At 42.0% G+C, this 16,922-nt stretch overlaps 1 protein-coding gene across 19 annotated transcripts in view; it reads left to right on the top strand.

Annotated features, from left to right (window-relative positions):
* The window catches only part of SETBP1 (SET binding protein 1), a 388,438-nt gene that overhangs the window by 12,209 nt on the left and 359,307 nt on the right, over positions 1-16,922 (top strand). For 6 of the 19 annotated variants that reach the window (NM_001379141.1, XM_047437477.1, NM_001130110.2 and 3 more), the window contains exon 2: positions 8,894-9,551. In NM_001379141.1, the coding sequence (NP_001366070.1) occupies positions 9,066-9,551 (486 nt within the window). In that variant the 5' untranslated portion in view covers positions 8,894-9,065. Of the gene's footprint in view, positions 1-4,854; positions 5,062-8,593; positions 8,761-8,893; positions 14,942-16,922 lie in introns of those variants that run through there. The other 13 variants (XM_024451149.2, XM_024451156.2, XM_024451158.2 and 10 more) reach the window with 7 other exon arrangements.

A 16,922-nucleotide genomic window follows, 5' to 3' on the forward strand; every position in this document is an offset into this window, starting at 1 on the left:
TTAATCTTTACTTCTTGAAACAATCCTTGAGGTAGGATTATTACCCCATTTCCAAATGAGACTTGAAAAGATTAAAAATGTTTCCTAAGAACACAATTACTAAGTGGAAAAGGGAGGCTAAGAAATCTAAACCTATGTCATCAAGTCAGAACTGCTTCCATTCTTCTTTTTAAGGAGAAACATGGCTTGAACACTTACTGTTGGACAGTTACTCCCAGTGTTCTCTATGCTTCCAGCTGTGCAGAGACTCATTTAAAATATAGCCCTTGTCCTCATGGAGCTTGTGGTCTAGTGGGAGAGAGAGGCAGGTAATTAAAATGTTGAAACAGAGCTTGCCAAATGCTTTGTGAGAGCAGAATGACCAGGGAAGTGAGAGCAAGACCGTGCGTGTGTGTGTCTGTGCACATGTGTATGCAGGAAGAGGTAGAAAAGGAGGGTCCAGCCAGTCTCCATGAAGGAGGTGAAATCTGACCCAATTCTTGCAGGATAACAAGAGTTAACCAAGTAGAGAAAGGAGAAAGGGCCAGCTAAACAGAGGACCTATCAGGGAATCATATACAGTAATGCCCATCAGTGGGACTTGGGAGATCTGCAGCTTACGAGATGCTGCTAGAGCATGTGGTAGGTGAAGTAGTCTGGAAATGCTGCTTGGAAGAGGTAAAATGTGATCAGGAACTTACCACACAAGTGCAGAGTATAAAAACACCACTGAGTAGGAGCTTTGTCCTTTGCTATAGACAGGTGATGTATCTTCAGGGTCAGAGAACCATGGTGTAGAGCTGCCCTTGCTCTTGCCGATTGAGAGCTAGGTAAGAGTTGGGTCACCTGCTAGATTTACCAGTGTTGTGGAGCATTTACTCTGGGTGTTTCTGCAGCTGGAAGGAATTCCGGAAAGATTACTTAGTTATAGGCAGCTGAGTCAAGTGGTGTCTGTCTGGCCTCTCATTCAACATTCACCGAATGAGTAATTTGGAGTGTCTCTCTGTATCAGAAACTGTGCCAAGCCCTGGGGGTGACCATGGTGAGCCAAATAGGCACAGGTCTTACCCTTCAAGGGCTTATCATCTAGTGGAGAAGGCAGAGTTTGAAACCAAGAATGGCACAAATATTTAATTATATAATTAATGTTAGGAAAGACAAGTTCTGGCCTACAAAGGCACAAAAAGGGGAGTTATGATCTGGTTTGCGATGCTCAGGGAAGAGGCATTTAACCTCAGCCTGAGTAATGAAGAAGTCTAACTCCAGGGGAGCAAGAGGAAGATTCCAGGTGCATGCAAAGTCCCATGAAGTCACTTGTGACTCCCCACCAAAATACCTTAGAAGACATAAAGAAGGATGAATAATCAACCACTCCCAAAGCCAAAGTCAGACAGTCAGTCTCTTGCCAGAACCTGACAAGAGATTCTTATAACTATAGGCCAATGAGTCTAGGTTGAAAATACAATTTCTTCCTCATCTGTAATTAAGTAGGATCACACTCCATCTTTTTACACCATTTGCTTTCTTAATCAGTTTCTGTCAACCAGAAAAGCAGGCAGTCATCAAGTCTACTGTATGGGCAGCTTGAACAAAACCAGCTAAAGACTTCCCTCCCTGACATCATTATGCATATTCTCAAAGACTATAGCTCTCAGAAGACAAATGGGCAAGAGTGGGAAGGGGAGTTCTGGGAGGAGTGGAAGAAGGGCATTGACTTCTGGGCAGAGATGTTGCTTCAAGTAAAGTTCTGAGGTGAGCATGGAGTCTTTGTCATAGAGCATATTGTGAAGTTTAGCTGTTCAGCTGTTTTTGTGAATCCAACAGAAAAGACTTTTCTCAGTTCAGCAAAACAATAGTAGATGGATGTTTACTCTCAGTGGTGTTCTAGTATATGCTTAACACCCTGTTTTCCAGATTTTTTAAAAGCACTGACTTGTAAAGTTTGCTCGTTCTTATGGTGTAAACACTCCCACCATGGCTGAGCTCCCTTGCCCAGGCTGGAGTGCAGTGGTGCGATCTCGGCTCTCTGCAACCTGAGCCTCCTGGGTTCAAGTGATTCTTCTGCCTCAGCCTCCTGAGTAGCTGGGATTACAGGTGCATGCCACCACGCCCGACTAATTTTTGTGTTTTTAGTAGAGATGGGGTTTAGCCATGTTGGCCAGGCTGGTCTCGAACTCCTGACCTCAGGTGATCTGCCCACTTCAGCCTCCCAAAGTGCTGGGATTACAGACATGCGCCACCGCACTCCATGGCTGCATTTTAAGCTACCAACTTAATGCCACTGAATGTGGAGTTGGGGAGAGATACACACAGTGGGCTCTTATGAACCCATAGGCACTAGCTTCATTGCATCCCTGGTTACTGTTCACTAGAACTTGATATGGTCTCTGGTAAGAGGAGTAGCTCGAAGAGGAGGATGTGACTGGCTTCACAATGGGTAGAAGGTAGTCCAGTACTTCCTCTGTAGGCCAGGCTCTCTCCTCATCAGAGTGTGAGCAAAGAAACAGAACCCAACACAAGCCCTCCTGAGGTGGAAGAAACACTTAAAACAAGGTAAAAGGAACAATATCAGGAAAATTAGTTAATCCAACAGCAACATTAGAGTTTCAGAAAGCTACCTGGCATCTTTGACAAGAAGTATGACCCATGGAAAAGGAGCATTAAGAAACAAGGACGGAGCATGCTGATGAAAAGACATCAGAATCAGCTGAAAAGTGGATGCATAAAGTAAAGAAAGATTGCAGGGATACAAAATGTGCAATTGCAGAATTAAAAAAAAATCCACAGTGAAGTCAATAAAGGCAAAGGGGGCATGGAAAATAGAATCAAATTGGTATTATGGAGAACAGATTGGGGTATGCTCTCCCACAAGGCAAAAGAAGGAAAGAAAAGCAGTGAGAGAGAAAATGATAGAAATGGAGAACAGAGATGAGAGCTCTAAACTCAGAATTACAGGAAAAACTTCGAAAGAAGCCAGAACCATTTAATGGAAGAAATTACCAAAGGAATAATTGAAGGGAACATTCCTGAACTAGAAAGAACCTGCATCTACAGATCCAAAAGGCTCATTATGTTCCAGGAAAATTAAAGGGAGAGAGCTCCACACTACACTCATTTTGTCATTAATAAAATTCTAACATAATGAAAAAGAAAGTCTTCAATTATAAACACATAAAGCAAGTTGCCTAAAGAGGAAACCAAATCAGGCCAGCCTCTGTTTTCCCTTCATTAGTTTAAATGCTGAAAGACATGCTACAAAATTTTGAGGCAAAAAGTTCTAGCCTGAGAATTATCTGGTCAGCCCAGTGTGTTTTACGTGTGAAGATGAAAGAAATGCCTTGTGGTATGGGAATTTGCAGAGTCCAGAGCCGAGGGAGGACTGAGGATGAAGAGCTTGGGGAAGTTTGCAAAAGTTCAGGAATGAAGCCGAGTACTCTTCCTGTGTTTGGGATTGTTTGCCTTTAAGACCTGAGAGGTGCACGTGTTGTTCATGTGTTTATTTTGTAATAAGGAGCATGGAGTTCTACTACCAAGAAATACAGTAAAATTTTTTTAAAAAGTAAAAATAATAAGCTAGTGAAGTAGGCTGGGAAACCACCTTTTTTTTTTTTTTCTGTTCATTGATGAGACACTGAGGCTGAAAGAGGCTTATGAAGGCTCCTAAGTGGCAGAACTAGGCCAGGAATTCATTTCTTTTGACTCCTGTTGAATATACTAAGGGCCCTATCTCTACCACCTTGTCCTTTTGGAAAGCAACAGTCAGGATGACAATGGCCTGTATGTGCATGGCACCTGGGCAAAGCAGAAGAGGGAGGTGAATAAATGATGCTGGGAAGCCCAGCTTGAGTTGCTTTGTTCACTTGTTAATTCAGCCATCCAGCATTTCTTGAGTGTTGATTATGTGTTGGCCATGGTGCTAGGTGTTAGGATTTTGTGGATGAATACGACACAAGTCCTGCCTGTTCCCAAGAGACTCACAATACTGCTGTAAGGGAGAAATACCCTCATGTACTCAATAATAATACCTATGATCTAGCAACTTGACAGGGGTAATCATATAGACCAGGCACAGTCTAAGGCACTGGTTCTGACTCTAGGCCATCAGAACCACTGAGAGGGCTTGGTAAAAGCTGGCGTGTTGGGTCCCAGCTCTGGAGCCCTGATTCAGTAAGTAGAGCTCGAGAACTTGCATTTCCACCAGGCTTCAGAATAAGTAAGAATTCCCAGTTGGAGAATGTATTTTAGACTAGGAAAAATATTCTATCTAGCAGTTTTGGAGGGGAGGGAGGATGTACTCTGGAACTTATTTGGGTATAAGTCACATCTAGCCAAGCAGGATTCCCCTGGCCATTCAGAGAAATAATTCTTTAGGTTCATGCTGTTCATTTTGGAGTGTACCCATAGGTCTATGGCTCTGCAGGGCAAAATTACAAAGTGTTAAGTATGAAACAGACTTTCGTCCCAACCCATTCATTGCTAAGGCAAGTGTGGGTCATAAGAGATCCACAAAGTGTGGGTAAAAGACTCATAGTGGCTTGTCTAGCATCTGACTGCCTGTGAACAGCAGAGCTAGGAATAAAGACAAAGTTTTGGACTCCTATCTCAGTATTCTTTCTAAATACATCTGTTTCTTTTCCTTGCCCTTTTGTTTGCCTGGGGCCGACAAGGCTGTTATCTCCTAAGCAATTTTATCTTTCCAATCCTCCTCCACTCCCAGCCCCCACTGCCGCCCCTGCCCAAGTCCTGCAGGCAGTCATAGAAGAGTTAACTTTTGTTGGACTGAAGGCCTGAGCCAAGTACAGAGTGTCCATTGTGTGCCCGCCCCCTCAGGAGGAGTCACTGACTGCTGGAATGTGACAAGGCAAAACATTTTTACCTTGCCTTGGCTTCCCCAACTCTGAGTGCGTGAGCCTGTGCGTGTGCTCACACGCGCATTTTGGCAGGGCTGAATCACAAGAGGACTCGCAGTTGATACCCAGACTCACCAAAAAATTGAGCTGTGAATTTGGGGAGGCAGGTACGTGCTGGGAAGGAAGCTAAAGGAGAACAACAGCTTTGTGTGCTGATGAAGTAAACAGACAGGTTAGGTTTCTTTGCTGTTTCTTTTGAAAACTTATTTTATTTTATTTGTCTAAGATGAGGGTCACATATGGACACCAGGGGCTGGATTATAATCCTCAGGATAGGCAGCAAATTTGGCTGGGGCTGCTGCCTGGGTGGGTGGAGCTGCAGTGGGAGTAATTTGAACTACACGACTTTGAATAGCTGTCAGAGGGCGAAGCCATTTTCATTCAGAAAAACCTTGAAATCCTCCAAGCACCCAGTCCTGCAATGGATGCTATAGGTAATGTCAGCATTATACAACTACAGTTAGGCTCAACCTGAGGCTGAGCTGCAATCATGTTAGAGAAATAAGATTTATATGCCCAGAACAGCTAGAAGACAATACAAGGCTGGTATTTAGTGGCGAACTATACAGCTGGGTGCAATGTCAGTCCGGCCAAGGAGTGAGCACCACGGTCTGGAGTTTACAGAATGTTGCCATGGAGAATTGAAGACTTGGGGATGATCTGGAAATATGGAAAGGCTTGGGATCTTTTTATTCATTTGTTTATTCATTCCTTCGTGCAACAAACATTTGGGGAACACCAATTGCATGGCCGGCATTGCAAGGATGAGAGGAAGTGGATATAAGAACAGATTCTGTGTATTTTAAAAAATACAGAAAGAACTATGTATAACATTGCTGTGGAGACTGGTTTGACTTGAGTAGTTACTGCAAGTTGGTGGCTAATTTGCTTTGGTCTTTTAAGGCGAGATCAGTATGAAAAGTCTGGAATAGATGAATTCCTAAAGATTAAGGCTATTTGAAACTGCATTACTGTTTTACCTACAGTATTTATTATGACATACTCACATTGCCCTGGTTTGGGTCTTCAAGCAATGTGAATGAAATTTCAGCTGAACTTTCTTATGGCCCCCTGCCTCTAACATCAGATTCCCTTAATCCAACCCTCACACCATGTACCAGAATTATCTTCCTAAAGCTTAGATTTGATATTATTCCTTCTCCACTGCCATTCCTTAAATGGCTTCCCATTACCTGTAAGATAAAATCCAAACTCGTTAGCACAACATTCAAGGAAGTTCATGACTTTGCCATGACCTTTTATTTCCAGCCTCACCTCTCATAGATTCCCAGTTTCTACCATACTTCCTAGCCAAACATCAATTCCCTGTTTCTTCTGCATAATCCTGCACACGCCTGCCCAGGACGTGGCCTCACGTCTTCCCTTTCTCTGCTACGTCTTCCTTCTTCCTGCTCTACCTAGGAAACCCCCATCAAGATCAAAGATCTGTCTTCTGCTCTCCTCAAAGCCTTTCTGTGTAGTTTCCTAGCTACCTACACCTTGCTCAAGTGGAGAAAACTTTCTTCCTTTTGATTCTGTCCTTTCTTACAGTACATATAAAGTTCTGTGTTGTTTTAGAGTGATTTGTCAAATCTCTCATCAAAAGTGTAACTTCCTTGAGGAAAAAGATTGTGTTTTCCTTAGTATTTTGATTTGAGAACAGAAAAAAATTTTTTGTATTGAATTTTTTTTGTGTGGATCTTTTATGACTTGAATTTTAAGTTTCAGAACTTTGTCTTGTACACGTAGTAAAATGTAAGAAATGATTGTTTCATTTATTTCACTCTGAAGTGAATCTTTTTTTAATGGAAGATATTTTCTTAATATTAATAATATATTCAGTGTATAAGCCCATCAATTCATCTAAAGTTTAGAGTTCACCTTCTTTTATTGTATCACAGAATCTGTAACATACATTTCCCTACTCTGGTTCAAAGGTCCAAATGGATTTCATTTAGGAAATTTGTATGTATATGCTTTGTCTTTTCTCCTGACCTGGGGAGATTTTATAGGTAGGTATTAGAGAATTAAAATGTCGTTGGAGATTCCTGCCAAAGGGAATAGACTGTGAACATTACTGCCATAAGAAAACATGGCTTGCAATTTGCATGGATCTGGGATACACACTGAGAAAGACCTACTGGATTCTTACCGCTTGACAAATGGGGAAATTTCCTAAGGTACATTGATGTCTCCAACAGCTGGGGTGGTGCCTGACACTAGTAAGAGAGGCCTCCGTAAAGTCAACTTGAGTATAACTTTTTAAAAATAATGTGTATTATTGGGCAGATAAATCTAGATGAGACAAAAAATCTTATCAGTAAAAGAAACATCAAGTGTCATCTGGTCTAACTTCTCCCCACCTCCCAAAGTGGAGACTTTGTCCATCTTGTAGCATGGGTCACAGGTGGCTGTTTTCAGTTTTGGCTCAACAGTGTCAGTGAAGATGCTCATGCTCTCACTAGGGCAGCTTCTTCTTTTTCAGAAAAGCTGTATTCGTTGAATCTTCCCCGAAGTGGAAGCAGTTGTAAATGTGTCTTTCTGCAAAGCTGAGCATTTTCCAGTAGCTGAATATGCTCCTGGGCTTCTCTGGGGAGCAGGGTCCGTGTTGGAGCCGGGGCTGCCTTCCTGGCTGGCTTCCTCACAGGGCGTCAGCTAAAAATGTGCTGATTCTGGAGACAGAAGACAAACGTCTGGTCTTCAGGCTTCCAGTTCTTGGTTATTCTGAATATGTCTTTGCAGGCATCGTTGGGCATTTTTTGGTGGGCACATTTGCCAGCCACTTTAAATTGATGGGCTCAGAGGTAGAAACCTAAGATGTACAGTCATGTCTTCTGCTGGGAAACTTAAGTGTTCAGCAGCTGAGAAAGCTTGAGTGTGATCCAGCGTACAGCCTAAGGGTGGGAGGATGTGATGTTTGCAGCCCCAGGGCTCTTGGTTTTCTCCTGAGACTGAGCGTTTGGGCTTCCTTTTGGGCTTTGAAAATTATGAGTATGAAATTGGGAATAATAGAACGTGGGGTGAAGAAGGGTGAAGGAGAGTTTAGCTGATCCTGTGACAGTTTGGAGAGAGCCTAACTGATTTTTCTCTTCTCATCTTGGAGGAAGGTAGAGAGGAAGATCCTGGGGGGACTCCTGACACTTCCACAGGCCTATAAAATGCTCCTTCTCTCCCTTTTTCTCTTTTGCTGCTATGGAGACACAATACTACTTCATTTAAGAAACCAGAAAGGGAATTACAACTGTCTAGAAAGGCTATTTTTAATCTAAATAATTGATAATGATTAAATTTCTCTCTTTTGTGTCAGTAGAAACATTTGTTGAAGTTGTTTTCCATTAATCACAGTGTTATAAGTGATTTGCCACTGAACTCTTTTTATTTTCTTTTTGTGTGCCTCAAACCTAAGCTTTGCATTTGCTTGAAGAAATAGAGAGGTCTTTGCATAATTGAAATAATGCATAGTGAAAAATGATAAAGGTAAAATGGTTAAGAGATAGGCTGAATGCCCCTCCTCCAAGTGGGTGGAGAGCTTGGCCCAGGCAGCCTGGGGGTTGTGCTCAGCTTTGCAAACTGTTCTTCACATGTGACAGAGAAGCGGTGCAAAAAGCCAACCAAATACAGTTCCAGCAGACCTGAGCCTCAACACTTCAGACTTCCCTTTCGTCATGATTGGTTTTAACAGTGACTCAGCCAGCTGAAGCTTCAGTATAAAGAAACCTCTAGCTTGCTACCGGGCTGGAGAACTCGCACCTCTTATCTTTATTCTTGGGCCTACAGCTATAAAATTAATAGCAATCCATTATGAAGGCGTGTGTGAATGTGTTTTTCCCTCTGCTCTAGTAAAATCCAATTTGGGGATGTGCTTATTCTGGTTAGCTGTTTTTCCATCATTTCTTTTTTCCGGATGCCATAGATACGTGGAAGGGGGCCTCTGGAACTTAGATTGAGTAACCTTGGGGGTCATTTTCCTTTCTGCCATGCCTAACTGTCTCTTTGCTTCTCAGTTGCAGATCTGATCTCTTCTGAACACCTCATCGTGTCTCCATCCCTGGGAATCTGACCCTAGCAACTGGACCACTTTGTTCTTGGAATTTTGGGTGTCCTCTTTTCTCACCTTTCCCTTTTCCCTTTTCCCCTTCCCCCTCCTGAGAACTCCGGAAGACTGTAGAGATTGTCATGGAGTCCAGGGAAACCTTAAGCAGCTCCCGGCAAAGAGGGGGCGAGTCAGACTTCCTGCCGGTCTCCTCAGCCAAGCCCCCAGCTGCTCCTGGCTGTGCAGGAGAACCTTTGCTCTCCACTCCAGGACCTGGGAAGGGGATCCCGGTGGGCGGAGAGCGCATGGAGCCAGAGGAGGAGGATGAACTAGGCTCAGGGCGGGATGTGGATTCCAACTCCAACGCGGACAGTGAGAAATGGGTGGCAGGAGATGGTTTGGAAGAGCAGGAATTTTCTATCAAGGAGGCAAACTTCACAGAGGGAAGTCTGAAGCTAAAGATTCAGACCACAAAGCGGGCTAAGAAACCCCCAAAGAATTTGGAGAACTATATATGTCCACCTGAGATCAAGATCACCATCAAGCAGTCTGGGGACCAGAAGGTGTCCCGTGCTGGAAAAAATAGCAAAGCCACGAAGGAGGAAGAAAGAAGCCACTCCAAAAAGAAGGTAGGAAGCCCTGTCTTATGGTTGTTTTTGTTTGTTTCTCTGTTTTTGCCATTTTATCCTCAACTTCTTAGGGTCTATTTATATATTATATTTGACTCTAGAACAACGTGGGGTTGGGGATTCAGACCCCTGCACAGTTAAATCTGTGTGTAACTTTTGACTTCCCCCAAAACTTAACTACTAATAGCTTACTGTTGACCGGAAGCCTTACTGGTAGTATTATCAGTTGATTAACACTTATTTTATATATTATATGTATTATATACTGTATTCTTTCCAGAATTAAGCTAGAGAAAACGATCTTAAGAAAATCAAAAAGAAGAAAAAATATATTTGCTATTTATTAAGTGGAAGTGCACCATCATAAAGGTCTTCATCCTCATCGTCTTCATGGTGGGTAGGCTGAGGATGAGGAAGAAGAGGAAGGGTTGGTCTTGTTATCTCAGGGGTGGCAGAGGCAGAAGAAAATCTTCATATAAGTGGACTCTTGAAGTTCAAGCCCGTGTTGTTCAAGTGTCATCTGTACTTATCTACTCGTTAATTACCAATCTCCTTGATGGAATATTTAGAGACTCAAGAAGAAACACCTCTGCTATAATCTTGGTATAATGTCTAGTTCTTTATCATATCTTCTGCATATCTGACAAAAAATAGCTATAGAATTGTAATTTTGGAAAGTTCCTGTTTATTGTATAACAGCCAAGTGTCTGGGTCAGCTAAGCCATAACAAACTTTTTAGTATTTTTTTCTTTGTTTGCATTAGTTTTCATAGTTAGGAGTGAGATATTAAAAAATTTGAGTTAATCAGAACAGTCAAGAATTGTTAAAATCTCCTTTTGATTTCAGTCATTACTACTGTAAATCTTCCTAAGATGAATTACTCACCTGACTAAGGAAACCCAGTCTTTGTAGTAACTGAGACTCTCACAGAGCTGAAAAATCATCATTGTGAAAGCCAGTGATGAGCATTAGAACTGGAACTGTAGAAAAACAAGAAAGGGGGCAAGTGATTGGCCTGAATCTCTGTCCAACACATCACGGACTTTTAAGATTGGACATTGACTCAACTTGGTTAGTTGTCATTTTCCTCCTAAAAGTCAAACATGGATGTGCAAAGTAGCTAGACAGGTGGTTGGTGGTGTCAATTGGTTGGGAATGAATGAGTTCATATTTCATTGAATTTATTTTATATCCTAGGGGGTTACAGTGACTTACAGTGACCTCCCTTCCTGTGTGTGGCACTCAGCTGTGATAGCAGAGGACTGCCTTGGTATAGTAAGTTTTTGTCTTCGAAAATCTTTGGGACTTGGAGATGGCTCTAGAAGAAGCCCTTTTGTTGACAGAGTTTTGGGGTTCTAGGTTGTAGGTGTTAATCATAATCTTTGTCACTCTCTCCCTGACATTTGATCAATTATTTGGGCTCTAGATATGTGGATCAGCTAAAAATGGCACAAATGAATGAACTTCTTTTCTTTATAGCCCGAAGATATTCCATAGCATTTCTGTTACCATTAGGTTTTTTTTTTTTTTTTTTTTTTTTTTTTTTTTTTTTTTTTTTTTTTAGCTTTGGGGCAGTTATTTTCAATAAAACCACTAGGAATCATATTATTTCTTTAGCACAGGGCTTGTGTCCATCCTTATACCGGGTGTTGTGGCTGATTTTGTTGCATTTAAAATCCAAAGAACTGGCTAGAAGAGACTTTCTAGGGTGACTGACTCCTCACAGTTTGCCCAAAAAATCTGTCCTGGTTTCAAGACTGAAAATTCTGCATCCAGGAATTGCCCCAGTTCCTAGCAAACTGGGACGATTGGTCACCTTAGTTTAACATTTTGGAAGACAAAGGAACTTTTAGAAATTGGTTTGTTTTGCCAGAACATAGAGGTTGTGCTCTCTCCTCCCCCATTACAACTTTGCAGTGATTTCTGGATACTCTGTCGTGAAACCAAAGGTTTAATCTCCACACATACAGAAACTTCTGAGATTCATGCAAGAAAATGCAACAGTTCAAATCAGGCTCTGAAAGTGAGGCTTTGCATTGGAGTTGGGTCTCTTAAGATATGAAAATGAGTATCTTTGTTTCTGGCCATTGAGTTGGCCAGTTCTTTGTGTGTTGTTGTATTTTTGTGTGGGTGGGTTGTCTTGAGTAATGGTTACCCTTTGTCTCCATCACCTTCACTGCCAGGATTTAAGCAGCAACCCACAGTTTTGGGAGTTCAAACCCAAATTCGCTGCCCTAAAAAGAGAATACATTGTCCTGATTAGGTACCACTTTTCCTAAAGCCACTGATTGTTCCCAAATATAGCTTTCTCCCCATTGGAACACACCAGAATAATGTTTTGGAATCTGTACCATCGGGATGATTTCAAAGCTGAAATGTGCAGTGGACTTTGGTGCTCATATCTGAAGTTCTCAGGCTGGTCATTTTCACCCAAGAAGCTGGATGCTCTTTGTGGACTTTATGGGAAAGAAATAAAATTGCTTATTTGAATATGTGATTTGCCAAGTAAGCATTTTTATGCCTCAGCAACTGGAGGGGACAGAGAGGAAGAAGAAGGGCTGAAATTCAATGCACAGTGCTCTTTATGATGACACTGTGATGGGAATACCCTTGAAAACTTTTTAATTGTTAGAAGCTTGCTTCATATGGTACTTCTCCACCCTTCTTACATTTATTTATGCCTAGCACTGTTACTTTCCAGAAATGAATTAATACAGCTATCATCACTGAGTCTCAATTACTTGATAGATGACAGGAACATCCTCTGATCTCTATGGGATGAGAATGTTAACTTTATTACCCTTAATTCCTGCTGTTTTGCAACCAGAGAGTAAGCAAAGGCTAAAGCTGAGGGTGAGATGTAGAAACCTTGCCTACTATGTGTGTGGAAAAGTTTAGTGGCATAAACTTGCAGAATTTACTTATTTGTATGAATGAGAAATATGTGATCAGTAATTTGGCTCAGAATGGATGAGGATGAGATTTCGTAAGCAACACACCAGCATCTAATCCTGAAATCACCTTCTGGATCTATTTTTATAAGTTGTACCACTCTTTGAAGCAGTGGACATGGAGTGGCCTCTGGGAAGCAGGTCCTACACTAGGAGCTAGAAAGGAAGCCCTGTTAAGCTGATCTTTGAGCTGCTAGTGATTCCTACTAGGGAGTCACCTGAATATATGTGCTGACTTTGAGCTGCTAGTGATTCCTACTAGGGAGTCATCTGAATATATGTGCTGACTTTGAGCTGGGGTTGGCAAACTGTAGCCTGTGGGCCAAATCCAGCCTCCTGCCTGTTTTTGTATTGCCCCTGAGCAAATAATGTTTTTTACATTTTTAAAAGGTTGGGAAAACATCAAAAGAATAATAATATTTTGTAATATGTGAGGCATATGAAATTTAAATTTCAGTGTTTATAAATAAAGTTTTATTGGAACACAGCCAAGTTCATTTGTTTATGTTTTGACTCTGACTGCTTTTTCTTATAGTGGCAGAGTTGAGTTGTTGTGACAGAGGTACTATGACCTTCAAAGATTCAACTATTTACTCTCTGATCCTTACAAAAAATGTGCATTGATCCTTAACTTAGGGTAAGGACATAGAGTTTCAGGATAATAAAGGTTTTGTTTTATTTTGTTTTGCTTTAATAATTCAGCCTCCAAGTTTGGAGGCTGGGGGGAATTAGGTGTTATATTATGTGCTGCTTTTTGTTGTTGTTATTTAAGTGAACCAGTTAATTTTGCTGAAGTCATTGCTTGACAGCTCCAGGCAAAGACAGCTTATATGGGATCCCAAATGATTTTCGTTTTCATTGGTGTTTGAAAAGAAAGCTCTGTGTGATACGGGTAGCATGACTTACATATCATAGGCTAGTTCTCTGTGATGTTAACTCTAGTTATACATGGTCCACTGCTTTGGGATGAAGGCATATATGTGTAGCATCGTCAACAGCCTTGTTCCAAATTTTAAACCTAGGGCTAACTCTCCAAACTGGAGAAGGATTATAGATCGTCAGGGAACATCACCACTTAAGTGGTAAGTTGTGAGGAGGAGCCCATGGAAGTACTACCTCCCTGGCTCAAGGATGCACGGACTCTTCTAACCAGGATAGAAGTCTCTTTTCTCTTTCATATAAAACTAGGATAGGAATTGAGATGCTATTTGGGAGAGGGCCTATGATGGATTTACATGCTTTACATGAGGTGTGAAAGCAGCATTTGGTAGGAAGTAGAGGCTGAGGGGAGAGCTCAGAAGCTACTTCGGGGCCTCTGAACTCTCCTTTGGACAGGTCTAATTTTGCAGATGGACCCCACACATGTAACTTGTTCTTTATCATGGGACCAACGTGGTTGCAACTTAAACTTACTCAGGTAAGTGACTTAATAACTTACACTTCCTCAGGTTTGCTTCTAGGTGATTAGATTAAAACAACAGAGACCATGAAGATGAGTCTCTGGAAGAATGTTCCAGTAGTGCTGGGCACAGTGGCTCCTGCCTGTAATCTCAGCACTTTGGGAGGCTGAGGTGGGTGGATCACTTGAGATCAGGAGTTCGAGATCAGCCTGCCCAACGTAGCAAAACCCCATCTCTACTAAAAATACAAAAATTAGCCAGGCATGGGGTGGTGAATGCCTATAATCCCAGCATCTTGGGAGGCTGAGGCAGGAGAATCGCTTGAACCCAAGAGGTGGAGGTTGCAGTGAGCCGAGATGGTGCCACTGCCCTCCAGCCTTTTTGGGTGACAGAATGAGACTCAATCTCAAAAAAAAAAAAAAAAAAAAAAAAAAAAAAAAAAATTCCAGTAGTGACAGGGTTTTGAAGAGTTTCCAAGCTGGGCAAGGCTTAGCAGCTCTTCTCTTTCGTGAGGATGTTGGGAGTCAGGGACACCTGTCTAGATTCAACAGCAAGATAAGGGCATGGGAGTTCCAAATGGATGCCATACAGTGACTCAGGGTAGGAGATGTGGTGTGATAGTCTGACACCAAGCAGCTTTGTGAATCTGGATCTGCAGTATGAATTTGCTGAAGCCCTAGTTTCCTCACCTGCCAAATACAGGTGATGATTTCTACATGATATAACTCAGAGGAAGATTTTAGAAGAAAATGGATAATTTACAGAGCAAACATCATCATAATAACTTTGATTTCTTGAGCTACATGGCAGACCCTCTGCTAACTGTTTTACATTACTCACCTTATCTGTTAGTCCTCATAACAATGCTGCCAGGCAGATCTTATTTATTTACAGGAACTTGAGGCTCAGATTGCTTCAAAGGAGGAGGAGCTGGAAGGGGCGAGGTTTTCCTATGAAGCCAATTCTATTAGACTCCAAGCAAATGTGTATTCCAGTCCCTTAGTTGCCACACCCTATAAAAGTAAAGGATTTCTGAAAGGTGAGGATCACTAGAGTGTTTTTTCCATACTTTCTCATATAGCTGGGGTGGCACAAGCATAATCTGCCACATTTTCCCTAATTCTAAGTTTTCCATGGTTTTGAGAGAGTGTTCAAAGCTCACTAGTTAAAGCCCTATTTTTTTATTCATTGTACTTACAAATTTTATTTGCTTTTGACAAAAATACAACTTCTATTTCATTTCTTTGGATTTAATTTTTCCTCCTCTCCAGTTCTATTGGGAGATCTTATTTCCTCCTGTTGCAAGGACTTCAACCTTATACCCATCAGGTGCCTGCCATGGTCCTAGAAGCACATTCAGGATTTGTCTTGGTCTAGACCGTCATCATATGCCTAGGGAAAGACTCTTGTATTCCGTCCTGAGCATTCACAATCTGCTTTTGAGAAGCCAAATAAATCATGCACTTATTTCCTCCTTACACAAAGAGCAAACACACAAAGTATGGATAGGAAAAAAGTTTCTTAGGTGTTGTTGATGGGAAGAGAGGTTGGCATTAGATTGCAGAGAGCAATGAATGTCAAATAAACGAGTTTGGATTTAATTCTGTAAGTAGCAGGGGTGCTCACAGGGCTTTGAATCAGGGAGAAGGAACGGTTGCAGGGGTGCTGGGGAACTTGCTGAGAGTGACTCTGTGTAGAGGAGCTTAAAATGGGAGACATGAAAGGGGAGCCTTTTGGTAACACAGTTTTCAGCAAGGAGAGATTGGTCTAGGGTTCTTCCCTTTTCCTGGCATGTCCTGAGAAGCACATTTCTCTCTTGACCTTTAATGGTTGTAGCAATTTCGTTTACACGTGGGTGAGGAGGGGTCTATGAGAGGAGGTGTTTGGCAGAGGGTGAGGGGTGGCTTGCTTTGCCAAGGGTGCAGGTTGCCTAACCTCTGGCTGCTGCACCCATGGTTTTCTTCTCCTCCACACAAGTGGGTGGCTCAGAGAGCCTTCTACCCTCCTGGTGGTTCAAGTGTCCTTCCCTTGCCATCCTATTTTGTCAGCACTTTCTCTGGTCACTCCCAAGTGTACTGCTTTACAGAAGACTTGGCCTCTCTTCTTCTGGGGGTGGGAATGTGGTGTTTCAAACTCCTGGGAGTATGAGCTTCTTCCTCCACAACACCCTCATCCTGACTTGGAGATGAGGTCTCCATAGCATTTCTACACAAGAGGTTGAATTTCCCCTCTTGTTTCATTTTAGTTTTTGTCTCCTGAGATTTAAAAACATTTTTAAGTACCACATTTCTATGTATTCATTAGAATGCCTGGAAATTTTGTTTCCTGATAGATTTCTCTCTGATTATGTTGTAGCTAAAGCAGCAGGGAAGGTGGGGAACGACCTTTTCTGCAGGGCAGCAGGGAGCATTGGACATGTCAGCTGAAAGTGTGAGGGAAAGAACCTTGGCCTTGGAGATGGGGAGCCCTGGGCACCGGCTCTGCCTCTGTGACTCACAATCACATTCGGCCAGCATACTTTACCTCCCTGCTTCTCAGCTTCTACATGTTCAAAAAAAAGAAAAGAAAAGAAAAGAAAAGAAAAAGATGAAGAAGAAAAACAAAGCAGCATTTTCCCTCTGAGGTCTTGTTTCTGTTCTATAATCTAGAAACTTTAAGGGCCATTCTGTTTCATCAGCAGGGCAAGTGTTTCTCTTTAAGAACGCTCATTACTATAAACAGATTTTTGACCTCTGTTTGGACCCACTGTTCCGTCATCAAATTGTTTCCTTTTAGCCCGAAATGTCAAAAGATCTAAAATCATGGGAGCAAGGGTCAGAGTTGAGCTTAAAATGTGGTGATTTACCAAACTCGTGTTCCGTAAATATATTTTGGGAATATTTGGTTATCCCTCAACCCCGTCTTCTATTTTTCTCTTTTTTTCTTCCTGTGTTTGGGATTCTCTGGGGGTTTAAAACATGTAGCTTGGCTGTTTCCTCCTGGTTTGGTGTTCTCTTGTTTGTTTTTTTCTCTTTGGACCC

The sequence above is a fragment of the Homo sapiens genome, chromosome 18 (genome assembly GCF_000001405.40).
Source record: "Homo sapiens chromosome 18, GRCh38.p14 Primary Assembly".
Classification (NCBI taxonomy): domain Eukaryota; kingdom Metazoa; phylum Chordata; class Mammalia; order Primates; family Hominidae; genus Homo; species Homo sapiens.